This window comes from Homo sapiens, chromosome 2, assembly GCF_000001405.40.
Source record: "Homo sapiens chromosome 2, GRCh38.p14 Primary Assembly".
NCBI lineage: Eukaryota > Metazoa > Chordata > Mammalia > Primates > Hominidae > Homo > Homo sapiens.
The window spans coordinates 66,677,631-66,695,711 of NC_000002.12; the positions used below are offsets into that span (position 1 = coordinate 66,677,631).

Genomic DNA, 18,081 nt, shown 5'->3' on the forward strand with positions numbered 1-18,081 from the left:
GGGGGAAAGATCTTATTTTTAAACTAACTTGGAATGGTGTAAATTTTTTTAAAAATCAAACATTGGTATATTGATAGCATGTACTCAACATCAGACAGTATTGTATTTCACAAATATTAACTCATTTATTTTTCACAAGAATTAGGTACAAACACTATCCTCATTTTGCAGGAAAATTTAGGCACAGAAAGGTTAGGTGATTTTCCCAAGGTCACACAGTCAGGAAAAAGAAGAACTGGGACTCAAACATAGATAGTTTGGCTATAGTCCATGTACTTCCTATTGAACCATGAAGCCTTTCTGGGATTATGGCTCTATTTAGGTCATCCTAGGGTATTGCCTTCAATCGTGGGTTTGGGGTGGAGAGGTTCATGTTGAGGATTTATGGATTAGGAGCTGTAGCAGCTGCCCAGATTTTCAATTTTTCTGATATTAAAGTGGTGAGTTTAAAAAGCTGACATTTGTAAAAGATAATCATTTCTGAATTGGGAGGGGGGATTTTTCCACTATTTAAATGGGATTTTTACAAGCATAAATAAATCTACTGAGAAAAATGTGATGTTTTACCTGAATTGCAATTACTTTATTTTTAAAATAGAAGTTAAAAGTCTCAGAGAGAGTTGTCAATAAGGGCTTCGGCTGGAACTAGTATGTTTGCACACACCTCCCTCTCCTTCGGCTCTTTTCCTTCACCCAACCCTGTGGAAAGTAAAAATGCCAAGAAGAAAAATGGGGAAAGTGATGCTATTAAATATAGCACAGGTGCTGTTTTCATAGGTGGTGGGAAGTTTTAGCTTTTCTATCTTTTACATTCTCTGTGGAGCTTTATTACCATTTCTCAGAGATACACATACTGAAAGAGAGTCCAGGATTACTGGGGAATTGGGTTTTATTCACTTCACTTGTTTCAGGTAGGGGGGGAAATTGTGAAAGAGTGAGAAAACAGCAAGAGCCTACTAGATCAGTATCTGTTTTTAAAGTGGCATTCAATTGAATAAAATTTTTAGAGTGCAGGAGTAGAGTTTTCTGATTTTACTTATTTATTATGGCAAATCTTATTCAACTTTGTTATAGAAAAATCGAAAAAAGATAACTGTCATGAGTTTCAGCTTTCTTAAATCAGAACTTAATTTGGGAACTGCCCCCAAAAAATCCCCTCAAGAAAAATCTACCAATACGATTTTCAACTAAAATTGGTAAGGAAAGATATTATAAAGTATTAAAATCATAAGGAATGCCTTTTTATTTTGAGAGAAAGTAAGGTTTTATATAATTCACCTTGCAGAGTTCAACATTTTGCAAATTAAGGCAGCAACATGTTGGAGCCTTTCCACTCAAGTCAATGGATAAAGTCTTGACCCTTAATATGTAATGAACATATGCAAATAATGGAAAATATTTTCCAACCACTGATTCCTTTGCTGATGTTACCAAAGGTCATTTCATAGTTTCAATCATTAAAGTTAGTTTTGCTTCCTTCTCTTACCTTAGTAAAAATATTCTAAATTTGTATTCAAAATCTCCATATCCTCTTGGCTTCCAACCGAGAGCTGACGAATATTACAAAGAAGCAGTTAAAACCTGTCCATTAAAACTTATGACACTTAGACTATTTGTATACACATGACCTTCAAGGTTATATGAAGGTAGTCCATTAATCCCTCTGTCTGGTCTTTATGTTTTCCCTTTACTCTTAAAATGAATGAAGTTGATAAGGAATAAATATCACTAGAACCATCATGATTTTGGACCAAGTTACCTGAATTTCCTGTTTGATAATATTCTGTTGAAGAACCATTTACTGGAGGAGCCAAATGCACATGTTCATGGTGGTGGTGAGGAGGAGGTGGTCAGGGATGGGGAAGGAAGGTGGGGGTGGGTGGGGTGGAGAGCAGTACAAAAAGAGACCACAGTGTTCTACCCCGCGCTGCTGGTGTTTTCAGATTAAGATGGGGGATTAAGGAATTTTACTCAGCAATTTGAGATGCTTTGTTAGGGACTGAGGAGATTTGAGCTGCTTTGTTCTCAAACCACATGTTAGTGAAAAAGCAAACAGGCACTTAATCCTGACAGACAGCAGAACTTGACATCAATTTGCCCCTTGGGAGGTGACCAGGAGTTCTCTATGAAGGGCTAAAATGGCCAGCCCTTGTTTTCCTGGAGCCTAATGCCAACATTCCATCCTAAACTGTATTCCTCAGCAGTGGGGCTATAACTTATTTGGTTTGACTAACCAAGAGTTTCTAGAGACTATGGACTTTTACATTATTTTTAAAAACAAAACAAAAGACCTTTTAAAGGCAAATAACCTACAAGGTGCCAAATATTCAAAGAGTTTTCAAACATGTCTAATATTTTGGTCACTCAGTCTTGAAGTGAAATATAGAAAGGCTGAGATTCTTTTTTTTTCCTTTTGAAAATAATGGTTTCCTCTAACAATAAAATCACAGGGCAACATATCAATTTTGGAGCCCATGGTTATGAAATAAACATCAATTCTTATGTAGATGTTTGAAGGAGATTCTACTGAATAACCAGTTATATTCTAAGGTCATGTCCTTCCAAGTCACTGAAGTAGGACAAAAGCAAACAAAATGAATAGGAAAGAAATTAATGGCTTCTTCAATTGAATTTTATACATTATAAAACTTAAGTATACATAGTTAGATAGTCTGGCACACAATCTGAAATTGTGGGATAAAGGCTCACTTTTCCATCTTGAGTTTGTGCCACCCTAATCCGTTGACCAAAAGTGAACTTTTAGTGGCCTATTGATTTACTAAACGTTGGCATGCATAGGGAAGCCATTTTTAAAAATCAGAATTGAAGCAGCAAATTTATAAAACACATTTCAGAGCAAATCCTTACATTCTAAAGAGTTTCTAGTTGAATATTCAGCTTGAATCAATAGTTACTGTACTCTGGTAGGATGTAAAAATCTGCTATATCTTAATAATTAAAAAGCAAGTTTTGTCACAATTGCAAAATTGCTACATATTGCACTATTTAAACACAGAACTTTGAGTCAAGTCAAGCCTCTGCTCCTGCTCACCCTTATCTCTCCCCTGTAAACTCAAAGGAAAACTTATCTCTTTATATCGACTCTATAGGTGATTTTCTCCATTCTGCTATAAACTCAACATTTTATTCTTAAATAACCATAGAGTTGTTCAAATAATCTTTTCTTTCAGGATTGGTGCAGCCCTCTTTATGTTTACATGGCACTAAACTAATTTTTAAATGACCATGAACACATGATGATAGAATATCTTTATAAGAAAGTTAATGTCAGCTGAGCCTGGCAGCTCACAGCTATAATCCCAGCAGTTGGGAGGATGAGGAAGGAAAATCACTTGAGCCCAGGAGTTTGAGACCAGCCTAGACAACATGGCAAAACCTCATCTGTACAAAGAATACAAAAATTAGCTGGGTGTGGTGGCATGCAACTGTAGTCCCAGCTACTCAGGAGGCTGAGTTAGGAGGATCACCTGAGCCCGGGAGGTTGAGGGTGCAGTGAGGTGAGCAGAGATGACCCAACTGCATCCCAGCATGAGCAACAAAGTGAGAAATTGTCTTAAAAAAATTTATGTCACTTTATATTTCCAAAGAAAAATGGTTGTTTTCTATGTTGAAGCTTTAATTTGAGGAAAAAATACCTTTGCACAGGGCAATGGAATGAGCATAAAAAAGTGTTTGTATTATTAGTTGCCAATTTGGGAGATGAGACAATTTCCAATATTTTGTATATCCTTAATTATTTATTATAAAAACCAGTGGGACAGAAATCTGAAATTTAAAATATTATAAAGAGATACTTTCATTAATTTTATTTAAAACATTATATGCTTGGCTTTAGATGACTTCTGAGTTGTGTTGTTTCTCTCTCCTTTATGAAGGTTTACCAGGCATATTAAAAGGATCAAATACAAGGTGAAGTAAAAGCAGAAACACAATATTCATTTATTTAACTCTGGTACAGTAGAGCAAATTCAGGGTGACTCAAGGGACACAGTGTCTTGTAAAACATATGTACTTAATATAAGGGTCATAAAACTTATTAAATTAAAAGCTAGGTTAAAAATAGGAAGAAAATTTATGCTGCTGTCTAAAATAGCAATAATTTCCCTTTGGCCTTTCCCTTTCCAAGTAATATGGGTTCTGGTCAGGAGGAAAAAAAAAAGGCAACTTATAAAATCTTCATTTTGGAGGACCAAATGCAAATCTTTGTTAACTACACCATGCATTTTAACAGGCAAGTGATACGGCTGAAAATAGAGTAGTAAGAAGATAAAATGTTTAGCCTTAAAAAGTGTACTTGTGATGAGGATTCAAGGATATAGGTGGCATTATTCCTGAGTGCAAACAATAAACTCCATTCTTGTTAGCTGGTATCCAGGAAGAATAGCTTTAGGGTATGGGGACAGTAGAAAAAATATTAAAAAATAGTTGATTTGGCTTTGTGGCAGCAGGACAGTGAGTAGGGAGCACAAAGTGTGCATTGCTGTTCAGTCAGGGCACAGCAGTGCTTCCCTGGACAAAACCTTCCACCCTTGTCCCAGCAAAATTTGGGCTGTAACAAAATCTATGTAAGCCAGAAAATTTGAAGTGAAGATTGACCTCCTATTTGTGTCTCACTCTGCTGCCTGTGGGCCACTGGTGTAGGAAAGGACACATTACCCTTATAAACAACTTCAGGGTTTGAGAGTAAGTGTGGCCTCAACTTTGTAAGCACTTGTATTTTTTTTTAATCCATGCAGCTAAAATATATTGGGCTTGCTTAAATGTTTATTCTCAACATGATAGCCATTTTCCTACCTGGGGTTCCTAGGTATAACACCTTAGTAATTTGAAACCAAAATAAATATCAATTTCCTTCTACTGTAGTCACATGGGGGGTTGTTTGGAATTTTATCTTCACACGAAAGTCTTACGGCTGTTGAGAAGGGCTGTGCCGGTCATTTATCTGTTTACTCTCAGACTCACTCTCATCCTTTCCTTGCTCTTTTGTCTTCCAGGCGGCTTAACCCTGCAAAGTACATTACCATCTGGCTTCCACAAAGGCTCTGCAAAGGGAGATGCTTTTTTAGGGAGTAGGAGAGAGGCTAGGATAGCCATTCTCCCACTCTCCCACCTGCATTGAAAGTGCTTCTGCAATGCCTACCTCTCCCCTGAGGTCTCAGACCTGCCTTCTTCTCTTTGTCCTTCTAGTCAAGGGGTGGCAGTGGCTTTACGTCTTTGCCAAACTCTTGTTGATCTCATCATCCCCATTTGGACTTTCAGTTCTTCCAACACTTTTGTAACTACCTCCCTAGATTAAATCTCTAGGTTGAACTACTTGGTAGTGATTCTGTTTTTCCTGACTAATGCCAGGACCAACTGCTTTAAAAAAATTATTTCTAGGTTATTAGTTTGAAAGATAAGAGATTCTGCTTGACGTCTTGAGGGGTCTTTGCCTGTTGGCCAGTGGGTAGGCTGTTGAGTCATAATAGTCACTTTGGCAAGGTTCTCTTTTTGGTTGAAGTGAAGCAAACCTGTTTGAAGGTGAAATGAGAAAGTAAGAACTAGTCAAGGTCTTTACAGGGTGGACATTTTAGGAATACAAGAGAAGTTGAACTGAAAGGGCCGTGTGGATATGTTGTTGATCTTGGCGAACTCTCCTGAGCTGTATAGCACTGACAATGGAGTGCTATTATAGCCTTTGGAAAAACTCAGCTAAAACCTCATAATCCATTTTTCTTTCATCCTTGCAATCTCTTTTTTTTTTAATTCTGTAATGAACTAGCCTGATAGTGTAAATAGCCTCATTTGAGCTAAGATGGGCAATATAAACACACACACTCAGAGATCAGTAGAGGAACTCTGAAAATCATACACCAGTTTCTCTTTCTTTCTCTTTTTCCTCTTTCTCTTCTCACTCACAATTGCTAACAAAGTTAAAAGTTGGTTCTCATGATGAAACTTCATAGGCTGCTGTCTGGAATGAATTTTCCTGAAAGAGCTCTAACTGCTGGGGGAGGGAGGGAATGTAGGGTGGGGTGGGGGAGAATCCAGACCTCAAACCCAATAGCCTTGCCATTCAAAATACCAGCTTGAAGGTTGACATTTGCAGGGACCTTGGGAGTATAGCACGTGGGGACTTTTATCCTGCTACTTCAGTGACAGCTGGGCCTGGTCCAAACAACACTGCCAGTAACATTGTCATCGAGTAGGTTAAGCGGAGCTGGAGGGGAACTTCCTTTTAGCTTTAGACTTTAGACTACAAAGTCTCAGAGCCTTTGGGTATTCATTCACCATTCAGTGAACTTAGACTGGCCTGAAGTTTATTTTCATCAGGATGTTAGTAGGGCTTGGGAAACCTTGAAAATGGAATGCTCAGTTTTTGTGAAGACTTTCTTTTAAACCTACAGATTTAATGAAGTTTAAACACATTGTTCATTGTGTAATTATAGATGAAATATTAGAGAAGTGGACTAATTATACACAATGCACTCAAACCCAATTAAATTAACATCTGTGGTGAATGTAAGGATATTCTCTTTTACTAATAAGAAATATTTTCTAAACAACAGAGAATAAAATCATTAAATTGGATATGCTGTAGAGATTATAAATATCCTATTAGCATATAAAATGAGGATTAACCTTATTTAATCACTGCATGTCAGATCATCAAAAGTCATGTTGCACCCCCATAATGTTGCTGTATTAATTCTACAGAAATAACAATAAAAAACCCTACTATTAATCAACATAGCTCTCAATGAATGCTGTTCTTGTCTACTAAATTAAACTGTTGGAGAAATTCAAGTATTCCCATAATTGCTTAACAAAATAGCAAAAATACTTTTACCTATTCATTGTGGTATTATGGCTGATTCAGATTTACGTCATCTACTGGCTGAAGAGGTGTGTCTTCCTGGCTAGGCAAATTAGCCTACCTCAAAATAAATAAAATATACTATCCATTCCAGCTAGCACCACAAGTGACCTTTTGAAAATGTAAATTAAGTGATTGCAAATACCAAGAGTGTATTCAAAATGAAAACGTATGGACTTGAGACATAGTGCCACCATTGCTCCAGGGATTAATTGGCAGACTATGAATCCAGGGATTTCTACCTTTCAATCTGGGGCATTCAATATTCCATTGGAAGATACTCATGACCATTGTTACTGTGATTAAATAATCAAATCTGGGTGGAGCGACAACAAAGTGGACTTGGGGTTATCCAGATTCATGTTATAGCTTATTATGAATATTGATTGGATGCAGTAACAAAAAACAAATGACAGCAAAGTTGAAGGTAGCCATTTCATATATCATGTTCATAGATTGCCGTTTTTCACAGCTGAGGGACAGAAATCAGTCAACAGGGATGGTTGATTCGAGGGAGTCTTTGTCAGAAGAGAGTGAAAGAGCTAAAATCAATCTTTCTTGCTTTTTCTTTCTTCCCTGTTTCTCTTTCATCTCTCCTTCCCTCCCTCCCTTCCTTTGTTTTTTCCTTCCTTCCAAAGAGTTCTTCTTTATATTTCTTCCAAAATTTGAAGGGCGTTTTTTTCTTTCATTCTTGTGAAAACCATAATTACAGGGCCTGGAATATAAATGTACTTATAAATATTGAGAATAATTATGGCTATTACAACTTTGTATTTCTAATTTGGTGAATTAAAAAAAAATCAACACATACAATTCTTTTTCAGTTGAACCCTTCCACTTAGTTTGCCTACTCATCCTTATCTGAGGAAGTAAGTTCAGTTTAAAATGTAAAAATTCAGATGTAATTGGAAAGAAATTTAGAATAAACTGGAGGTAACCTGTCTGCGGGGGCATGGTAGGGCACACTGTGATGGGCCCACGGGCAGGGACTGAATCCAGGAATACATGTGGAGGGCAGAAAAGTCTACCTGGGAAACTGAAATTTAATAAACACATCAAACACATGAAAGAAAATGTGATTTTATCACACTAGAAGTATATCTCTCAGAAAGCCACTTCAAAGAAAGCAAGCAGAATGCATGCGCAAGTCAAAGTCCTTTTTCGTCCTCAGGACCAAAGCTGCTTAGCCAAGAAGTTTTTCTTTCTGTCCAGGTGCCATACACCATTTAAGTTTTTTTCCAGTTTCCTTAAGATTTTAAAGCCACTTGCACTACATATATGTAGTGCAAAAAGAATATATATATATATATTTTTTTTTTTTTTTTTTTTTTGAGATGGAGTCTCGCTCTGTTGCCCTGGCTGGAGTGCAGTGGCACGATCTCAGCTCACTGCAACTTTTGCATCCCGTGTTCAAGTGATTCTCCTGCCTCAGCCTCCTGAGTAGCTGGGATTACAGACGTGTGGCACCATGCCCGGATAATTTTTGTATTTTTAGTAGAGACGGGGCTTCACCATGTTGGCCAGCCTAGTCTCGAACTACTGACCTCAAGTGATCCACCCTCCTCGGCCTCCCAAAGTGTTAGGATTACAGGAGTGAGCCCAGTGGGCCCGGTCAATATATGTATATTTAGAAAATCTTCTGTGGCTTCTTTATTCTATAGAGAGAGCAATATGTTGTGAATACAGTGTTAATAATAACTACTATTTTTGCCCTTTTTGAACAAACCAACAATTGTGAGTTTTAGCTTTTATTTTTGTTCTCTTTAAGCTCAATTAAAAAGTACTTTTGCCTTCCAGGAGCCATTTTTACAATTTATTTGAAGTGCTGGGTGAATTAAAGAAAATCCTATGCCTTCAAATTTTAGTTGAACTTATAGATTTTCCATAACAATATTACTTTAAAAGACTCTTTTTCTTCCCCCTTCTTCCAGGTCTCACTGGCCCAGCAATTTAGCCTTGCCTCAGAATTGTTACATTACGGTCAAATGGTTTGGTTGTGACACAGGATGGTTTTCAGAAAAGCAGCAGACAGTGTCTAGAAGTGGGAAAAAAGGTCTTTATTGAGAAGGTCAAAAGGGACATAAAGGCAAAAACTGACTTTCACCGAAACAGAACTGGAGACCAGGCCTCCAGTGTCCTTTTTGTAATTCATTGCTTGTTTTCAGGTCCCGTGATAGAATTCTTCCATAACAGAAGAGGACTTTGTTAAATTGTAAATGAGTATTACTTCAAGCACTCTGTGGAAATATATTCTCCCCCTATAGCCCATACATTATTTCTGCTTAGTTATAGTGGCTCACCTTTCCTGTAACTATCAAAGAGAACTTAATTCAACTCACACCACATCACTTTACAATTGTGCAGCTCTCTTAATCAACCTTTGTGTCAGCCACGAATGTGCAGTATGACCTAATTTGAAAATGTCTCAAAGTGCTGACTCAAACTGTTAGTGAATAAAGGCTGGTCATTACCATTATGACACTAATGTGATGCAAAATAAAATTGAGTTGCATCAGCTGAACATTAGTTTGCAAAAATATCAGTGATTGAATCCATTTTCTGTTCATATTTTATTTATACTTAGATATGTATACATATATACATAGGCACATATTTTTTGTTTGTTTGAAACAGGCTTGCGGCAAAATTTTTGAGGGTAGAGGAAGGAAGCCACATTTTAACACTGGAAAAAGACACAGGGTTAAAGGCTGATCATATGTGTATCATGATCTCCTCTCTATAACATGAAGACATGTTGTTGAAATCTTATTAGGATATTTATATGCACATAAGCAATAACATATGAAAATTATCATCTTGTCGTGTACTTTGGTGCTAGATTCCAAGGTTTCTAACAGCCCTGGCACTTCTTACTACTTCGTATTACTCCAAAATTCTGACTTTGTATTCGCAAGTAACAAAAATTTGAGATTTTTTTCTTTCATGGGACTTCTTTCCTTCTTCTTTACTTGACAAAAAGTTACTTTGAGATGGAAATACCTTTAATACACACTGTCGTTAATTACTTGTGAACAAAAGAAAGTGAGATATAAAACTAGACATTATTTAGCCTCATCCCTACTGATAATACTTTGTGGAAAGCAACATCAATGATCTTTTTCTTACACAATTCAGATGGTTTTGAGGAAAAACTCATGGGCTTAATTAATACCTGTGCATCCTAAAACTAGCATTGGTTTCAAATTCTAAGCTGATAAGTAGTCATTGAAAATAAATCAGCAGGAAACTTTCTTAATTTAGAGAAATTTTCCTAATGGTAAATGAGAAACTCCACCCTGTATCTCATTTTGGGTCTCCAGAATTCTGAAAATCCTGAACATAAAAGTGAGGTATTAGTGATAAAATACTTCTGATTTTATTTCTTTAATGGTTCTAACAAACCTAGCACACAAATGCAAAGGAGATATGTTGTCCTTTAAAATGGTCAAGGACAAGAAGTTTTGGCTATCAGGAAATTATTTAACCTGCTTCCAATTGAGAGAGTATATGTCTTCATAATATATCACCATAAGCGATCAGTAGAGAATACAGCTAAATTAAAATGCTGGCAAGCTCAGTTCATTCACTTTTTAGAAAAGCAAGTAAAACCTTCCAGCAAGATGTGTAGAAATTTTCTATTACGTGATGACTTTCATATTTGAATCCATTTTACATTGTGTAATATGTGACTTGGGCTGTTTTTATGACCTGTGCTTTATTACCACATTAAGACAATCGACATTTCAAAAAAGAAAAAGTTTGAATAATTTCAAAGTGAACTTGCCAAAATCAGCATTCAGAAGCATGGGTGCTCGCGCGCTCAAACACAGGCACACTTTCAATTTACCTAAAAACGGGGATCACCCTTTGTAGCTAAAATGCAATCTTTCTTATTTTTAGGTTACCCTGAGAAAAGGTATGTGGGTGTGATTCCTGCAAATGGATTGCCAGTTTCTTAACAGTTCATCATTCTTAAATGATAGAAGTATAGCAGCACCCTTCTGAGAAACATCTTTTCTGTAGATTTTACTTTGTCCATGCCAGGACAAATTGCGTGCTAAGTTGAATAATTCTGAGATGTGAGACACCTCCATAACTGTCCTTGGACTACCAAGGAGCTGGCATTTCTCTTTGGAAGATGAGGGGAGAATGCTCCCTGCTCTCTTAATTGATGATTTACTGTGCTTTCCCTTGGGACCACAACCGATGATCTGTAAGCTTGTTGAATTTTGAGGTAGATACTAAATATAATCAATATATAAAAATATTTAAAAAAGGAGAGAAAAAATGCAATGAAAATTTATGACCTTAACATTCCTTCAGGGTCAAGCAATTTATCAAATTCTCTCACTTTCTGGTTTCAATTACACAGCCATTGTGGAAGGAACTTATTTTAGCAGGTTCATTTGCCTCAGTGGGGAATACAGGACTTTGGCCTAATGCTTCACCTTTAGTGCAGGCCATTTGAGCCTTAGAACAAATACCAATCATCACTCTTTGGGAAAAAAGAATCTGCATCGGCGTGGCCTATTGGAATGGGGTTTCTGTCAAGGTAAACGGTTGTCGGCAATGACTGTGGTAGAGTGGCGATAAATCCCATTTTATTGCTGAAAAATTCCAGCTTCTCTCCATGCCTGACAGCTCCCCACATTCTCATACCCATTTGGGCAATTTCTGCACTATGTCCATCTGGTTCTCATTACCTCTCAACCTCCCTGCGTCTGATCCAGAAAAAGAGCAGGTCAGAAATGGGGCTGGGGGTGACGAAACCAAGGTGATGAACAAAACAGAAAGCAGGGGGATGGCCCATGGGGTTCGGGGAAGAGTTGAGGTTGGGTGGAGTAGGGATTCCAGCTAAGAATCTGAGTGGTTTTGAGAAGGGGCCATGTCAATTATTAAAAATGATCATGACAGAGCTGGAGCCAGAAGCCAGAGAAACCTGTATCTTTAGACTCAGGCATTAAAAAGACACCTGTTTTAAGGTGAAAGAGAGAGTAGAGAGAGAGAATGTGGTAGGTAGAGGAGGGTGGGAAGGCATCTCTATTAAGGGCACTGCCAGCTGGATTATCAGAGTAGCGGACCTGTTCTAGAAAAGCACGGAGCCCTGTGTACACAGTTGGCAGGCTTCTAAATATGCTGATCAAACTCTGCTGGAGATTAGATTTTGGTTCAAAAACATATGTTTTTGAGGACAAAGAAAACTTTTGGCCCTCCAACCTTATTGTCTCCATCTTTCGAAGAAGAATAATATTTAAAAACTAACTTGTCTTAATTAGGGCATTTAGAATGACAGGACTAGCACTGACTCACTTGGGAATTCATAACCCTACATATAATCACTTTTGGAATGGAGTGCATTTATGCCTTCAAAAAGTTGGCCTCATTTTCTGAAGCTGAAATCCTTTTGATCATAATTACTTCTGACCTAAAATTACCCACAGTCACCATACAATGCCACGCTGGGACAAAAAAGAAATACATATTGTAAGTATCTGATAACAGATATAAACTATCGGCCAACTTAAATAGTATCATTAATTAGACTAGGATGAAACTATACAACTATATATTTCTGAATATAACATTTAATCATTATTATTATTCTTTTGGTGCAGTGGTTGGGGCCGTTGTCATAAATGCTAAAATAAGAGTTGTTAAAGTATATTGAAGTATAAATGATAAAGACCTGAGAACTTTGCATAAAAATGAGAATCAGATGAATGACTGCATTGATGTAGTTATTTCACCACCTGTTTTGAAGTCAAATTTTATATGCAAATGTCTTAAAACCAGATATGATTGTGTATTCTTAAATACGTTGGAGAGCTGTGGCATTATTATGATTTGTAGACAGAATCTCTCATGTTAGATATGTTTGGATGGACATATTGAATGGTCTCTTAGTGCCTTCTGGATCCCAGGGATCCAGAGTGTATTTCAGGTCCTAAAAATGGACATTTTTGACAGTCAGAACCCCCAGTACTGCACTGAATATCTGTTTTTTTATGGGTTGAATTCCCAATATCGAAATTACGTTAAATTTTAGTTGCTGAGCCAGATCCTTTAGACAAGAAATACTGGCTTCCAGTAATCAGGATTTAATTTCTAAATTTTCAAGTCATGAATGCTCAAAGGAGGTTTTATGAAATGTACCTGAAATTGTAAATGAATCCCACGTAGACACTTAAATTGAGAAATTGTTGCTAAAAATTTTAAATTAAAACGACAAGATAATTTGGACTGACGTACATTAGAAATCATAAAAATGGAAGTTTGTTAACTTTAAAATGAATATTTTAGTCAACAAATAAAATTCTAAAACAGACGTTTTCACATGCACATATTAAAAGGCATAAACCTTTAGCTAGGGTCACGTATCTATTAAAACGGTCTTGATTTTAATGGTGTCTCTAATTTGGAAAGTAATTTCAGATTCTTAGCCAAGAAGAATCTTGCTTGAACTTTACTTTTCTAGGCTGTACATATACCAGAGAAACATGATCATTTAAATTCTAAAGGATGTTTGTTTCTTTTAATAGCATAGCAGAGAATTAATGGCATGGGGGAGGGGGACGTGACAACTTAACCTGATGTTTGATAGCTGTTTACTTATGAATGTGTGCCACAGATTTCAGTGTCTGTAAAAGAAGGGGAAATAAACAAACCGATGGCTTTTAGGGAACTTAAGACACATGGAAGAAAGTGCTTAGAAGGCTATTGAAATATTTACAAAACAAATCATTTACATTAACTTTCTTATGTGTAGAAACTGGAGTGCCCATGAAAAGACAGAGCCAATTTTGGCTATGAGAAGTATTTCAGCATCAAAATGGTTAACAGTATTATAGCTTCAAAAGAGCCTATTGGCTCACCCTCAAGGATGCCCTGCAGTTGTTGTTAAAGTCATCAGATGAAGCTAGCCTTCTCAGCTAGCCTTCAGATTTGTCTGCTAACAGTAAAAATACTATAATAAATCGGTAACATATGTTGCCAGGCAAGGAAAAGTGATATAAATAAAGAGACTGGGAGACCCAAACCAAGTACAATGTGAAAAGAATTTAAATTTCAATCTATTTGCTGGCTAATTACCATTTGAAAAGTAATTTGAAAGTTTTACTGTTATTTGCTGATATTCTTCCTCATTTTTCTTTTTTTCCTCTTCAGATTGCATTCTTACCCAAATACTCTTCGTGATTGCCTGCTTTGCGGCTTTGGGGTAAGTCCCAGTTTTCCACAACCTTAAGAAAAAAATGCATAACATAAAAGATGCCAGAAAGACTTATGTGTCCTGATAGTCGGGGTCTGTGAAATATACATGGGTTTGTTACGGGGGTGGGAGGCATAATGAAATAAAGAAAAGCGATTTGTTTCTGCAAGGATCAAAAGTGTGCGAAAGTGTGCATATGCAAACGAGGCTCCCATCAGGAAAGCCACCTCTGGAATGTAAATGACAAAGCTTGGAACACACACAATCAATTATTTTCACCAGCATTTAAAATATAGAAAACAAAATCTGCTTTGGGAATTGACTGAATATTTTATTTAGCTTTTTTTATTGAGACATCCTTTGAAAAATGGCATAATATAAATAGTTTTACAAAGCAACAATATAATCAATCTCTAAACTAGAATATAAATCAAGGATTTCATTAACTGCTGGTAGCCAGTTTAAATTGTAGTCTTGTCCATAATGTCTATCTATCTATGTATGTCCAAGTTATATTAAAAACCTTTAAATGGCTTTGTAATATCAGCTACATCTAGCTATTATAATAATTAATGGTACTGTTTTATAAATCAATACATGTATTCTTGATAAATTCATATCCAGTTAATGGTGTAATTTAAATAAAAAATTAATGTAATAAAGGACATACAGAAGCGGGCAGGAAATCTTTAAAGGTTAAGAGCCAAATTTGTCTAAATTCATTTTTAACCTGTTTTGGAAAAGTTTATATTTAAAATCAGCTGAGACTTACCTTGTTTCTGTAAAACTAATCTTGCCATTTCTGGTGGTATCTAGTATTAAATTTGTAAGGTGTTTTCTGACGTTGTTTTAATTACGTAGTTACAATACTGTGGAATATTTTACTGTCGTTGCACTATTTTGTGACTATTGCATATTCTTTAGTAAAATAGAACAAAACAAACTAAAAACATCACACCAGCAATTTATTTTTAATACACAAATGCATGTAAATGATTTATTTTTTGAAAATCTCCAAAACTATACACACATTTTATTTAAGGGGAAAAATGACTGACTAGTTCAATAAATTTGCATGTGGAAGAGCCGAGCATTTTCACTGCTTCCGCTGAGTGAACATTCCAAGAATTTTAGAAAGAAAAGAAAAATGCATGAAAGAGTCTGAAATGTATTTTAACGCTGCACCCGGGTACAGGAACATTCTACCAAAAGATGAGTGTATTACAGTTCTAATGTAAAGAATACATACCAAAGACATATTTAAAAAATAACAAGATTTAGAAAAACAACTGAAGGTTGTATGTTATCAAATACAATATCAAATCTTTCCAAATAAAATTTCATTTGGTTCATAAGAGTACGCGTTTTACAAAAAATATCTTTCAAAATTATGCAGACCAGTCTGCCCTGCCATCCTCCTTGACATGATGCAGAAATGTTCCTTTAATCCACTGAGCTTTTTCTGACATTTTTCTTAACATTGCTGAGCCTTATTTAGAGCACCAAAGGAGGCGTGTGCAGTTTTCTTTGACACTGATGGGTATTTCAAAATGTTACAGAGAGAGGGGGGAAAAAAAAGAAAGAAAAGATTTGCTGCCAGTCACTTCATCAATAGAGCTACAGAAGCAATTACTATTTGTTAAAAGTTTACATTTCAAATGAAGCTAAATTTTAAAGAAGTCTCATCCTTTTAGAAGGACTGGTGCTTGGAAGAGAGAGGAAGAGAATGCACATTAGTGATTACATGTTAAAGTGCACTCAAGTACTGGAACCATTTAAAATGTATTGTGTTTTTAGTTGAAACCTGCAGCAAAACCACTCCTAAGAGGCTTAATTTAGGTTTTATAGGAGGAACATAAAAAAGACCAGGTTACAGCAACATGCTGAAATATGGGGTACATTTTAAATATCTTCATTTAAAAACGTATGTTTATTTCCCCTCCTGGGATCACTAACGTGTGTCTCCACAGAGAAAGCAAGGACATGCATTCTTAAAAATTATCTGTTAAAGGGATCACATTCCAAGACAGGTTTGAGCATTTTTATTACTACAGATAACCTCTTAATTGTGTCACTGCCTTCCACTTGTTAATCAGGGACATTCAACATAGTTAACCATGCAGTGGTTGTCTTTAGAAGAATACATTATCATTAAGGATTAGAAACACATTTTATTCCTATAATCATATTGCATGTATGGTTTTAGCACTGCTAAAACCCTATTTACCTGCTTTAAATACATAACACCTAAGAAAGGATTGAGATGCCTATAACAATGTTGTTCACTACTTCAAACTATGCAGTCCATGAAAAGCTTTAAGAGACAGATAATTTTACTTTTCTTGTCCCCCTCCTCCACCTCCCCCATGTCCCACGCAATTCCTATTTGAATTGATTTTAGGTTTCTTGTGTAGCCACCAGCATCTGAGATACTCAGGTACTCTTTCAGAGACCAAGGTGTAAGTGTGAAGTAAATAAAATCATGTTTCACTGTTGCTTTATCAACCCTCCTAGGTAGTTTTTCTGCCAGCCAACCTGCGCTGTTAAGACCCATAAAATTATGCAATAGTGACTTCTTTGGAGGTTCTCTAATCAGATAATGGCTGGTGTTGGGAGGCAAGGGCCCAAGGCAATGTTGCTGGTACTTAACACTGTGGTTGGTCATTACTTGTCTAGTAGAGACCAATAAACAGCTGATTACTGTCCTATATGGAGCCAATATTTTACATTTATCCTAGTTATTTTTTCCTTTTCTTTTTAAGTTCTTATAACAGGAAGTATTTGTCAAGAAGATATATGAGTAATAGCCTCCCAGGCACCTTAAAAATAAGAATTTTCCTACCATGAAATGATGCCTTTTGTGGAAAGGTGGGAATGATTCTGGTTTTTACAAGAGCAAAGGTTTGATTCGTTTCAAGCCCACTTCTTTCAGACAGGGACACTCCACGACACCATCCCTGCTGCTCCTTGTCCCTTTCCCCCTCTATGACAGGTTCACAGGCTGCAACCAAGGGATTTTAAAATGCAAAGGTTTACATTCATATTTGCACTCTGGCAATAACAGGCCCATTTTGCTTCCTCTGTAAGCCTGTGATAATTGATGCTTCATACCTGGAACTATGTTTCATTTATCTCTTTACTCATGAAGATAGTATATAAATAAAAGGTAATGTATGGAAAGGAACCAACCATCTGAAATAATAGTCCTAAATCCAACTAGATAATCTTTTAAAGCTGTAAGAGTCAGAGATGGAGATTTCTAAACTTTCAAAGAAAACTTGATTGCAAATGAGAAACCTGTGCATTTTTGAATGCTTATTGAATTTGAATGTCTGTGTGGGCCAAAAAGAATCAGAGGGACAAATGGAAGGCAGGAAAGAAAAGGTGTAAATTTTAGATGTGTTTTAAATTAATGTATTTAATGACATATTAGACTCATTACAATTTTATTGACTTTCCCTTTACATTTGAATGTAATTTTTTACTAGCCGATGCAAGCTGCAAAATGGCGAGTCTTCTAAGGTGCCTTTCCTTCCCTGGGATCCTCATCTTAGAATGAGCAGAGGCACATCGATAAGAACTGGACCTTGATTTCACAACCTCATACAAAGCCAGGCAATTCTTGAGCCAAACAAAGGGGGTGTAAGCTATTTCATTTATTTTGATAATCCTCCTCTTGCACGGGAGCATTTTGCTGTCTTTGTCAAAGTGAATGACAACAATTTGGCCAACTCTCTCTGAGCTGCACTCAACAGTGACAGGCAAATTATCAGAGGCCCTGCACTTCTTATTATCAGAGGAGAAGCCATCAGGGGGACGCATGGAGGATACCTCTCCCTTGTCACTATTTGTCAGTGGGACAAGGGCCACTGCTATGGGTAGCTGACAGGTAATTTCAACAATAACAATTACTCCTATTACTGGTGTCATAAACAATTCGCCCAAGGCATGACAATAGCAAAGCTTTATAATTCAATGCCATATAAATAAATGCCAG

At 36.5% G+C, this 18,081-nt stretch overlaps 1 long non-coding RNA gene across 1 annotated transcript in view; it reads left to right on the plus strand.

Annotated features, from left to right (window-relative positions):
- The window catches only part of LINC01798 (long intergenic non-protein coding RNA 1798), a 121,559-nt gene extending 103,601 nt beyond the window's left edge, over nt 1-17,958 (plus strand). The window contains exons 5-6 of the long non-coding RNA NR_110156.1: nt 14,042-14,093; nt 17,573-17,958. This is a non-coding gene — a long non-coding RNA (long intergenic non-protein coding RNA 1798). The remainder of the gene's footprint in view (nt 1-14,041; nt 14,094-17,572) is intronic.
- The last annotated feature ends 123 nt before the right edge of the window (nt 17,959-18,081 follow it).